Source organism: Homo sapiens, chromosome 1 (genome assembly GCF_000001405.40).
Source record: "Homo sapiens chromosome 1, GRCh38.p14 Primary Assembly".
Taxonomy (NCBI): domain Eukaryota; kingdom Metazoa; phylum Chordata; class Mammalia; order Primates; family Hominidae; genus Homo; species Homo sapiens.
Window position 1 is genome coordinate 10,071,350 of NC_000001.11, and position 12,431 is coordinate 10,083,780.

The 12,431-nt window shown below is 43.4% G+C and overlaps 1 protein-coding gene across 6 annotated transcripts in view; it reads left to right on the forward strand.

Moving 5' to 3' along the window:
* Positions 1-12,431, forward strand: part of UBE4B (ubiquitination factor E4B) — a 148,282-nt gene that overhangs the window by 38,392 nt on the left and 97,459 nt on the right. For all 6 annotated transcript variants that reach the window (NM_001410744.1, NM_001105562.3, NM_006048.5 and 3 more), the window contains exon 2: positions 679-865. In NM_001410744.1, the coding sequence (NP_001397673.1) occupies positions 679-865 (187 nt within the window). The remainder of the gene's footprint in view (positions 1-678; positions 866-12,431) is intronic.

A 12,431-nucleotide genomic window follows, 5' to 3' on the forward strand; every position in this document is an offset into this window, starting at 1 on the left:
GGTGGGAGGATCACTTGGGGCCAGGAGGTTGAGACCAGCCTGGGCAACATAGTGAGACCTCGTCTCTGTCAAAAATTAAAAAAAATTAATTAGCTGGACATGGTGGTTTGCACCTGTAGTGTTAGATACTTAGGAGGCCGAGGTGGGAAGATTACTTGAGCCCAGGAGTTCAAGGCTGCAGTGAGCTATGATTGAAATACTGCACTCCAGCTTGGGTGACAGAGAGACTCTCTCTAAAATGAAGTGTAATATGCTTACCGTAAATTCGCCATGTCAGCCAAGGAGGTGTGATAAACAGAGATGGTAAGGGAACTAACATACAGTATATACGTATTTATGTATGTATTTATGTATGTATGAATTAGAGGTGGGTTGTCACTGCTTTGCTCAGGCTGGTCTTGAACTCCTAGGCTCAAGCGATTACCCCCACCTCACCCTCCCAAGTAGCTGAGACTATAGGCAGGCACCGCTGAACCTGGCCAAAATACAGTTGTTAAAAACTCAAGTGATAGAGCTTGTAGGAATACTGGTAGAGCGAGTTATTCTCTCAGAAGAGTACTTTTGCTGAAGGCATATTGAGTTGTTAAACTCTGGTTTGGTTATGAATAATGTCATTCTCTGGCAGAATTGTGTTTCTGCTGATTAGTTATAGAATGCCCTTTTCCCCTCATGTTGTAGATTCGACGGAGGCGCCTTGCACGACTTGCTGGTGGACAGACCTCTCAGCCAACCACCCCACTCACCTCTCCCCAGAGGGAGAACCCTCCGGGGCCTCCCATAGCGGCATCAGCCCCAGGACCCTCTCAGAGTCTTGGTCTCAATGTCCACAACATGACCCCAGCTACCTCCCCAATAGGTGCATCAGGTAAGCCCAAGCTTCATACCTGGGACTCTTTTGTAATTCTTCTTAGCTTTTTGTTAAGCTGATGGTTGTGATGTTTCCAGAACAGATTAAAATGAAGCAGACATCAGCTCTTTAAAATCCTCCAAGCAGTAGTTTAAATATCATTGCAATGTGTTGTGTTATCGCTTTTTTTTTTATTGCAATCTGTTAAACCAATTGCTTTTCTTTCCATAACTTCCATCTTTTTTTTTTTCAAACAGGTTTAGGTATTATCTCTGATGACAAGATGATTAAGACTGAATTTGGTTCTGCTGATTTTATGAATTTGGTTGATGGTTTTAAGATAAAATAATCTGAAAATGCAAGATTAAAATAATGGTCAAAATGAACACCTCTAATTGCAGATTTCCTCGTCTTCATTCTGCATTGGCACAGAACTTTTTCTTTAACTTTTCAGAGGATAAAACTACCTGATAGGATGTTTAGAACTATCTCATTAAAAAGTAAAAGTTTATTTCTTTATAATAAATGAGCTGATGCTTGATATCCAGGACTGTCTTTGTTGGGAAATGATATTTCTCATACTGTGTATTTGAAAATATCTCTCTTTTGTCTGTGAACTTTTCTATCAAATATAGTATTATTGTCATATAATAATAATTACTATTTTATAATTAGGATTCTAGTTGCGTAAAGGGGGTGCTAAGAGAACTGCATTGATCATAATATCATCTAATAATTTGATAGCCTTCTGAATCATCTGTCTTCTTGATCTAGAATCGTGTCAATTAAAAGTATTTGCAGAGTTTTTGTTGCTGTACTTCTCGTTAGGTATCAGTGTAGACTATAGATATATATAAATGTTTATACCTAATGTGGTTCAACCAAAACATCTGTTAGTAATAAAGAAGATCCTTGCCTATAATGTTTCCTCTGTATGTCTCTGAGAAGCTCTGATGGTCTTCTGGTAGGATTGATGGGTTCAGGATTCCAAATGTGATTTTCCTTGGACACAGTACTGACAACAGTGCTCTTTGCCTCACCCTGGTCAGGCCATACCTGGAATGCTGGAATCTGTCCTGGAGAGAACCTCTCTCACTTTGTCTTACTTGCTTATTTAAACCAGGATCTTGGTTAAATCCCATTCCCCACCTACACTGGAATAAGGCTATAGAAAAACTCAGAACCATTTGAACTAATTGAAAACTTTTGAAATGTCTGTCTCATTTCGAATTCATGATTACATGGCTGGGTGTGGTTGCTCATGCCTGTAATCCCAGCACTTTGGGAAGCCAAGGTGGGTGGATCAGTTGAGGTCAGGAGTTTGAGATCAGCCTAGCCAACATGGTGAAAGCCCGTCTCACAAAAAAAATACAAAAAGCCGGGTGTGGTGCTACCTGCCTGTAATTCCAACTACAAGAGAGGCTGAGGCATGAGAATTGCTTAAACCCGGGAGGTGGAGGTTGCAATGAGCCAAGATTGCGCTACTGCACTCCAACCTGGTGATGGCGTGAGATTCTGTCTCAAAAACAACAACAACAACAACAACAACATCAAATTCATGATCACAAACTCGGGTAGACCCTTGATACTGGCAGGCTGTTGCACCATGCTTCCCAGTTCACTCACTCTGCTGATCTGTTTCATACCTTCTCGAGTGTGCAGTACCTCATTCTCCATGCTCACTCTCTCAGCTAGTGGCCTGGCTTCCCATTTCTTTCTTTCTATTTTTTTTTTTTTTTTTTTTTTTTGGAGATGAGGTCTCACTGGGTTGCCCAGGCTGGAGCATGGTGGCTGTTCATAGGCGTGATCCTAGTGCACTACAGCTTAAAACTCCCAGGCTCAGATGATCCGTCTGCTTCAGTCTCTCATGTAGCTGGGACTATAGGCATGTGCCACCACACCTAACTCTGGCCTCATATTTCATTGAGAAAACAGATGCAGGCAGAACCTAGGCAGGGAACCTCCATCAGCCTCAGTCATCACATCCATCTGCCTACCTGTATGTGCGCCTGGTTCTTGTTATGCACAAATTGTCCCTGCTGCTGTTGAAGCTTGGACCCTAGATCCCATCTCCCTTCAGTTACTCAGCCTTCACTCCAGCAGTTCCTTTCTCTCTCTTGCTTCATCAGATTTTCCATCTCATATGGCCTTTTTTTTTTTAACAGCCTATATAATGCCATTACTTTTCCCATCATGGGAATGAACAAAAGGAACTCTCTTGATCTAATTCCCCCTGCCAGCTTCTCCCCCACATCTCTGCACCAAAACCTTTGCAGCAGAACTTCCGGAATGAGTTGCCTGTCCTCTCCATCCCCTTCTGCCCTTGCACTCTTTGCTGAATCAACTGCAGTCAGGCGAGGGTTCCCGTGGTTGCTCTGTGGTTGCTCTGAGTCACTGTCTGGTCTGACCCATCAGCCTCATTAGACATGGCTTTCACCCACTTCTCCTGGAAACACGTTTTTCTTTTGGCTTCCAGAACAGCACATTCTCCTGGTTTTCATGCATTCTCTGTATCTGTTCCTTCTTCACTCTTTGCCTGGTTCCTTTTCATTTCCCTGACTTCTAAATGTTAGGATTCAAGGGCTCAATATTTAACCTCTTGTCCTTTCCATCCAGCTTTATTCTCTTACTGTTGTCATCCAGTGTCCTGGCTTTAATTACCCTCATTTGATGATTCCTAAGCTTTTATCTCCAACGTGGACCTGCTCCTTGAACCTCAGATTGACACATCCAGCGCTTTACCTGACATCTCTGCTTGGATGTCTAACAGGCATGTCACAGCTAGCATGCCCCAAATCAAGCTTTGCTGTTGCCTCACATTTTATCTTCTCCCAGGTTTCCATCTCAATAAATGACAATTCATGTTTTCTAGACCTGGATTGGCAAACTCTTTCTGTTAAGGGCCAGATAGTAAATATTTTTGGCTTTGGAGGCTGTGAGGTTAGAACTGTTTATCTCTGCTTCTGTAGCACAAAAGCAGCCATAGAACATATGTAAATGAGCAAGTGTAACTGTGTTCCAGTAAAACTTCACTTACAAAAACAGGCAGTAGCCCAGATTTGGCCTGTGGACTAGAGCTTGCTTGGCCCTGCTCTAGACCTGTCAGAAAACTAGAAGCAGACCAGATTCTCACCACCTGTTTCTTCTCATCACCTCCACCGCTATTACCCAGGTCCAAGGCACCAGCATCTCTTGCCTGGATTTCTGGAACAGCCTCCTAACTGGTCATCTCATGCCCACCCTTGCTTCACTTGAGTCTGTTCTCAGTGTAGAGCCAGAGGGGCCCCACTAAAGCATAAGTGCAACACTGTGTAACAGCCCATATGCTGTTATCACAAACTAACAGAAAGGCTTGGGCATTCCCTAAACGGTTAGTTCTTGCCCGGGTACCTCTATGCTAAGTAGTCCTGATTATGTTTCTCACATAGTCATCATTATTCATAATCACAAACAGTTGGATATTATTAGCCATACTTTGGTGGGTTGAATAAACAGATTTTCATGATTTCCTAAATAAGTGAAAAAACAAACAGAAAATCTCTCTTAAGACAGGTTACATCTATTCTCTGTTCAGGCCAGGTGCAGTGGCTCATGCCTGTAATCATAATACTTTGGGAAGCCAAGGTGGGAGGATCCCTTGAGCCTAGGAGTTCGAGACCAGCCTGGGCGACATAGCAAAACCCCGTCTCTACAAAAAATTAGCGGGGCGTGATGGTGCACACATGTAGTCCCAGTTACTCGGGAGGCTGAGGTGGGACGATTGCTTGAGCCCAGGAGGTGGAGGTTGCCGTGAGCTGTGATCACACCACTGCATTCCAGCCTGGGCAACAGAGCAAGACCCTGTCTCAAAAAAGAGAAAAAGAAATTTCAAGAAAATATGATAGCTGTCCGTTAAAGAGTTTAAAAAGCTGGCATGAGGAAGGTGATGGCTTGTGTTTATTTTCTGTGGTCCTGGAAGTTAGACATAGGTCTAATGGGTAGATTTATTATCCACCGAATGTGATTGAGAGATTTTTGTTCCAGACTCAAAAAGTGCTTCTTTCTTTCTTTCTTTTTTTTTTTTTTTTTGAGACAGTCTCACTCTGTTGCCTAGGCTGGAGTGCAATGACGTGATCTTGGCTCACTGTAACCTTTGTCTCCTGGTTTTAAGCAACTCTCCTGCCTCAGCCTCCTAAGTAGCTGGATTACAGGTGCCCACCACCATGCCTAGCTAATTTTTGTATTTTTAGTAGAGATGGGGTTTCGCCATGTTGGCCAGGCTGGTCTCGAACTCCTGACCTCAGGTGATCCACCTGCCTCGGCCTCCCAAAATGCTGAGATTACACACGTGAGCTACCACGCCTGGCCAAGAAGTGCTAACAGAGACAAACACTGGGTGGGGTGCCACCCATGGTAAAAAGTCCTTCATCCAGGAGTGCTTGGCAGCAGTCATTTGGTGGCCCTCTTAGTTGGGCTGTTTTCAGTTGCAAGTAACTAAAGCAAGGATTGAGAAGCTGTAGGGGGTCCTTCCACTTCCAGTTGCTTCTCCCATCTGCAGTCCCAGCCTTTTTTTTTTTTTTTTTTTTTTGAGATGGAGTTTCGCTCTTGTCACCCAGGCTGGAGTGCAATGGCATGATCTCGACTCTCTGTAACCTCCACCTTCTGGTTTCAAGCTATTCTCCTACCTCAGCCTCCCGATTAGCTGGGATTACAGGCGCCTGCCACCACGCCTGGCTAATTTTTGTATTTTTAGTATAGACTGGGTTTCACCACGTTGGCCAGGCTGGTCTCGAACTCCTGACCTCATGATCCTCCCGCCTCAGCCTCCCAAAGTGTTGGGATTACAGGTGTGAGCTGCCACACCCAGCCTAGTCCCAGCTTCTTGCAGTGCCATCTGCTTCTGTAGTTTCCTAGGGCTGCTGTAACAACCTATCAAAAACTTTTGAAGGCTTACAGCAGCAGTATTATTTTCTCACAGTTCTAGAGGCTAGAAGTCCAAAGCCAAGGTGTTGGTAGGGCGATGCCTCCCAATAAGGGGAGAATCCTTTCTTCTGCCTTCCGATAGTTGCTGGCAGTCCTTGGCATTTCTTGGCTTGTGGCAACATAACTCCAGTCTTCACGTCCGTCTTCACATGGCCATCTTCGTTCTGTGTGTGTCTGTGTCCAAATTTCCCTCTTATGACAGCCACTGGATTAGGGACCACCGTAATTGAGTATGAGCTTATTTTAACTTGCTTACGTCTGCTAAGACCCTCCTTGCAAACAGGAGTATTATTTCTTTGTTTTTGATCTGCATCTCCTCTTCCCTTTGAATGTAAGGTTAGGCAGGAGCCTTGCCAGTGTTGCTCATCCCCTTACCCCCAGCACCGTGCTTAGCACATGGCAAGCAGTCTGGAAATGCCAAGTGTTATGTGGCTAAATGAATGAAAGAAATATTTCTTGTTGGAAATGTTAGAAGCGAAGTAAGATTTGAGTTCTTTTGAAAAACAGCTGGCTGACATTGTTCCTCTCACCACAACCAGCTGGATTGTCTGTTTTTCCTGATGTGCTGAGTGCTGAGCAGAATTTTAAAAATCCTCAGTCTATTCATTTTCTTCTAAAATTAGAAAAAAAGTTATTATATAAAATATTTCAAATGTACATGATAACATAACTAGTGCCTATGGAACCAAGTCCACAGGTCATTGCTGTTCCAGACTTGCCATTCCAGATATTTCTTCATGTTTTACTGCATTGTTATGTGGCACTGCTCTTGGCTCTCTTAGAACTTTATATATATGGGTGATGCTTTTCCTACAGATGAATGCCACTTTTTTATAGTTAACACTGATTATGCTAGTTTTTTTTTTTTTGAGACGGAGTCTCTCTCTGTCACCCAATCTGGAATGCAGTGGCACGATCTTGGCTCACTGCAACCTCCGTCACCCGGGTTCAAGTGATTCTCCCACCTCAGCCTCCGAGTAGCTGGGGTTACAGGTGCGTGCCACCACACCTGGCTAATTTTTGTATTTTTAGTAGAGACAGGGTTTCACCATGTTGGCCAGGCTGGTCTCAAACTCCTGACCTCAGGTGATCCACCTGTCTCAGCCTCCCAAAGTGCTGGGATTACAGATGTGAGCCACCGTGCCTGGCTGATTATGCTACTTTTATATTTAAAATGTAGGGCTTACTGCAGGTCAGACACAGTACTTGGTCATGGGAATGCAAAGATGAGTGAGACTCAGTTTCTTTCCTTAAAGAGCTTTTAGCCTAGTTGGGGAGGAAATGTTCTTTCATTTCCTGTTTAATATCTGTGTTTATTAAATTCTTTGGAGGACAGTCTAGTTTTCTTAGTTTCTTCCCCTATCTTTAGATGATTTGTGATTGCTTAATCTTCAGAACTTCTTAACTGTCTCGGGTTATTTTATTTTACAGCCTTGTTTTGGAATTATGCTTGTCTTCTCTTTGATGTTTGCCTATCAAACATCTTGAGTATATCCAACGAAGGCCTTAACCTTCCTCGCTGTTGTGACCTCTGAAGAGGAGGTCATGATTGCTCAAGAGTCCCCCAACAGATCCTTTATCAACCATTTTCATCTTGACAGGATTATTAGGTCTAGTGGAATAGGTCTTCCAGTGGAATAGGTCTGCCTGTATACTCTCTAGAGCTGGCAGGTTTCATTTTTGTTTTTCTAAGACAAAGTCAGGCTGGAGTACAGTGGTGCGACCATAGCTCATTGCGGCCACAAACTCCTGAGCTTAAGTGGTCCTCCTGCTTCAGCCTCAGAAGTAGCTGAGACTACAGGTGCGCGCCACCATGCCTGGCTAATTTTTTAATTTTTTTTGTAGAGATGAAGTTTTACTGTGTTGCCTAGGCTGGTTTTGAACTCCTGGCCTCAAGCGATCTTCCTGCCTCAATCTCTCAAAGTATTGGGATTACAGGCATGGAGTTCTCCATTGTTTTCATTCCATGGTTCCCTTTGGCAAACTGGGGAAGCCTTTGATTGGCTTCTCAAAATATACTTTTATTATTATTTTTTGAGATGGAGTCCCGCTCTGTCGCCCAGGCTGGAGGGCAGTGACGTAGTCTGCCTCCCGGGCTCAAGTGATTTTCCTGCCTCAACCTCCTGAGTAGCTGGGATTACAGGCATGCGCCACCACGCCCGGCTAATTTTTTGTATTTTTAGTAGAGACGGAGTTTCACCATGTTGACCAGGCTGGTCTTGAACTTCTGACCTCAAGTGATCCTCCTCCATTGGCCTCCCAAAGTGCTGGGATTACAGGTGTGAGCCACCGCACCCGACCTCAAAATTTACTTTTAAATGTGTATAATAAAATAGGATTACACAATTATATAGGAATATAATTATCAACATATTTTTAAAGATTGTAATACAGTTATTTATATGCTTCTTTATTAATGATTTAAATGAAAGACTTAGCAACTAGTCAAACTGCTTCAGCCCCTTGACATCTGTTTCCATCTGTGGACCACAGGTAAAGATCCTCTGCTCTGGGAGCAGAAATGAACAGTGGGGCCTCTTTGGAACTAGTGAGAAGCCAGATGATATATTTGGCCTCTGGGCTAGTTCTGGGGTCTGGATCAGAAACAGAATTTGTTTCTTTTCTTTGGCTGCTAGTTTTTAACCTACTTAATGATTATTTAACTTAAAATTATTCTTTAACATGTTGACTCAAATGGTCTTCATCCTGCTTCCATTCATGCACTTGAATAGTTAATAAATGGCTTCTGTCTGTTGGGCACTGTATTGAGAGCTAGGGATGCAGGATGGATAAGTCTCAGGGGCCTCCAGGGGCTCACTGTTTAGCATGAGGGCATGAACTTGTGAAGAGGTGCAGATGCTGGTGTCCTGTACTTGACAGAGAACAGCCACAAATAGTCACTTTCTCAGGCTCCCGGCTATGCATTGTAGATTTTTTTGGAGCATTTTCACACAGGCATTTATCTGATTGAAAATTCTACTGGCTGGGTGTGGTGGCTCACGCCTGTAATCCCAGCACTTTGGGAGGCCGAGATGGAGGGATCATGAGGTCAGGAGATTGAGACCAGCCTGGCCAACATGGTGAAACCCTGTCTCTACTAAAAATACAAAAATTAGCTGGGCATGGTGGCGGGTGCCTGTAATCCTAGCTACTCTGGAAGCTGAGGCAGGAGAATCGCTTGAACCCAGGAGGCAGAGGTTGCAGTGAGCCAAGATCCCACCACTGCACTCCAGTGTGGTGAGAGTGAGAATCCATCTCAAAAAAAAAAAAAGAAAGAAAGAAAGAAAGAAAATTCTATGTTGGTGAGAGTGTAAATTTATATAGCCATTTTACAAAACAATATGGAGGTCCCTCAGAAAACTAAAAACAGAGCTACCATATGATCTGGCAGTCCCACTGAGTATATATCCAAAGAAATTAAGATTCATATGCTGAAGAGATACCTCTACTCATGTTCATTGCAGCATTATTCCAAATAGCCAAGATATGGAAGCAACCTAAATAATCCATCTTCAGATGAATGGGAAAAGAAACTGTGGTATGTATCCACAATGGAATATTATTCAGCCTTCAAAAAGAAAGAAATTCTGTCATTTGTGGCAACATGGATGAACTTGGAAGACACCATGCTAAGTGAAATAAGCCAGGCACAGAAAGGCAAATATTGCATGTTTTCACTCATACGTGGGAGCTTAAAAAGTTGAACTCATACAAATAGACAGTAGATGGTGGTTACCAGAGGCTGGGGAATGGGGGTGGATGAAGAAGGAGATGTTGATCGAAGGGTACAAAATTTCAGTTAGATCAGAGGAAAAAGCTTTAGTGATCTATTGTACAGGATGTTGACTGTCATAAATAATAACGTTTTATATATTTTTTAAAATTCTACTTTTTAAAAACAACAATATTATTATTATTATTGAGACGAAGTTTCGCTCTTGTTGCCCAGGCTGGCATACAATGGCACGATCTTGGCTCACCGCAACCTCTACCTCCTGGGTTCAAACGATTCTCCTGCCTCAGCCTCCTGAGTAGCTGGGATTACAGGCCTGTGCCACCATGCCTGGCTAATTTTATTTTTGGTAGAGACAGGCTTTCTCTATGTTGGTCAGGCTGGTCTCCAACTCCCGATGTCAGATGATCTGCCCACCTCGGTCTCCCAAAGTGCTGGGATTACAGGTGTGAGCCACCATGCCTGGCAAAACAACAGTATTATTACTTTATATAATATAGGGAACAACATCCTTCCATATCCTATTATAATTGGTTTTTTTATGTTTTATTTTGAGATGGTCCCACTCTGTCACCCAGGCTGGAGTGCAGCAATGGAATCTCGAATCACTGCTGCCTCAACCTCCCAGGCTCAAGTGATCCTTTTACCTCAGCCTCCCAAGTAGCTGGGACTCCTGGCACGTGCCACCATGCCTGGCTAATTTTTTTTTTGTTTGAGTTGGAGTTTCGCTCTTGTCACCTAGGCTGGAGTGTAATGGCGTAATCTTGGCTCGCTGCAACCTCCGCCTCCTGGATTCAAGCAATTCTCCTGCCTCAGCCTCCCAAGTAGCTGGGATTACAGGCACTGGCCACCACGCCCAATTAATTTTTGTATTTTTAGTAGAGACGAGGTTTCACCATGTTGGCCAGGCTGGTCTCGAACTCCTGACCTCAGGTGGGCTGCCCGCTTCGGCCTCCCAAAGTGCTGGGATTGCCACCATGCCCATCCTAATTTTTAAATTATTTGTGCAGACAAGTTCTCACTATGTTACCCAGTTTGGTTTTGAACTCCTGGGCTCAAGTGATCTTCCCACCTTGGCCTCCCAATGTGTTGGGACTACAGGCGTGAGCCACTGTTCCTGGCCTATTCTTATCCCTCCAAATTTGCTTGATATGTTTTATCTATTTTATATGTTTGTTTATGTTGGTTGTTACATTGATTTATTGAATGCTCTAAATTCACGTAGGCTTCACTTAATACATATTTATTTAAATCTCCCTATGCAGTAGGTTCTGTTGTAGGCTATGTGGCTTATATTTTAGTGAGAGAAAACAATTTAAATACCCAGCTGGGCATGGTGGCTCATGCCCGTCATCCTAGTGCTTTGGGAGGTCTAGGTGGGAGGATCGCTTGAACCCAGGGGTTTAAGACTAGCCTGGACAACATAGCGAGACGTTACCTCTACAAAAAAAATACACAAATTAGCCAGGCATGGTAGTGCGCACCTGTAGGCCCAGCTACTGGGGAGGCTGAGGCATGAGAATCACTTGAACCTGGGAAGTAGAGGTAGCAGTGAGCCGAAATTGTGCCATGCACTCCAGCCTGGACAACAGAGTGAGACTCTGTCTCAAAAAACAAAAACAAACAAAACCACAAAATCTTTCAGATGATGGTAATTATAGAGGAAAAGAGAGCAGTATGTTGGCATAAGTACCACTGGGGGTGTGTACATAATCACTGTAGGTCCTATTAAGAAGGCGACTTTTTTTTTTTTTTTTTTTTTTTTTACTTTAAGTTCTGGGATACATGTGCAGAACGTGCAGGTTTGTTACATAGGTACACATGTGCCATGGTGGTTTGCTGCACCTATCAACTCATCATCTAGATTTTAAGCCTCTCATGCATTAGGTATTTGTCCTAATGCTCTCCCTCCCCTTGACCCCACCCTCCCCCTATTAGGCCCCAGTGTGTTGCTCCCCTCCCTGTGTCCCTGTGTTCTCATTGTTCAACTCCCATTTATGAGTGAGAATGTGCAGTGTTTGGTTTTCTGTTTCTGTGTTAGTTTACTGAGGATGGTGGCTTCCACCTTCATCCATGTCCCTGCAAAGGACATGATCTCATTCTTTTTTACGGCTGCATAGTATTGCATGGTGTATATGTACCACACTTTTTTTAATCTATCATCGATGGGCATTTGGGTTGGTTCCATGTCTTTGCTATTGTAAATAGTGCTATCGTGTACATGTGTCTTTATGGTAGAATGATTTATATTCCTTTGGGTGTATATACCCAGTAATGAGATTGCTGGGTCAAATGGTATTTCTGGTTCTAGAAGAATGTGACATTTTTAGCAGAGGCCTGAATGAAGTGAGTAAGCAAACCAAGTGGATATCTGTGGGGCAATCTTTGCAGACAGAAGGAAAACAGATGCAAAGGTCCTGGGGCAAGAATGGACTTGCCAGTGATTGATGCAAGGCAGGGCTAGAGCAGTCATCTTCAATTTCCCCTCATTTTCCTTCTCCAATTTTGAGTCTTTAATGAACATTATGATTGCTTATTAGTACATCTGTAGGAATGTCAACAAGATCAAAGCCATTCTTTTATGGTAAGTTGTCTTTGGCTAAGAATGCTATCCACAATGACAATGAAATTCTAACTTTGGTCCTATCATTGATTGCTATATTAAAATCCTTTTTTCTTTTTTTCCTCTTCTACTTGGTCCAGAGCTTGGGAGAAAGAATTCGAGGGTGGTTAAGCAGCTGGCTAGAGGCAGAGGCTCAGACAGAAGCCCCAAGGCCTGAGGGCTGCAGCAGGAACCCTAAAAGGCTACTGAGTTCAGGAGGCTCCTAGAAGAGGTTGAAATCCTTTGCTTTTTGCTTATTCATTTTAATTATGAGTTGGAACAGGTGT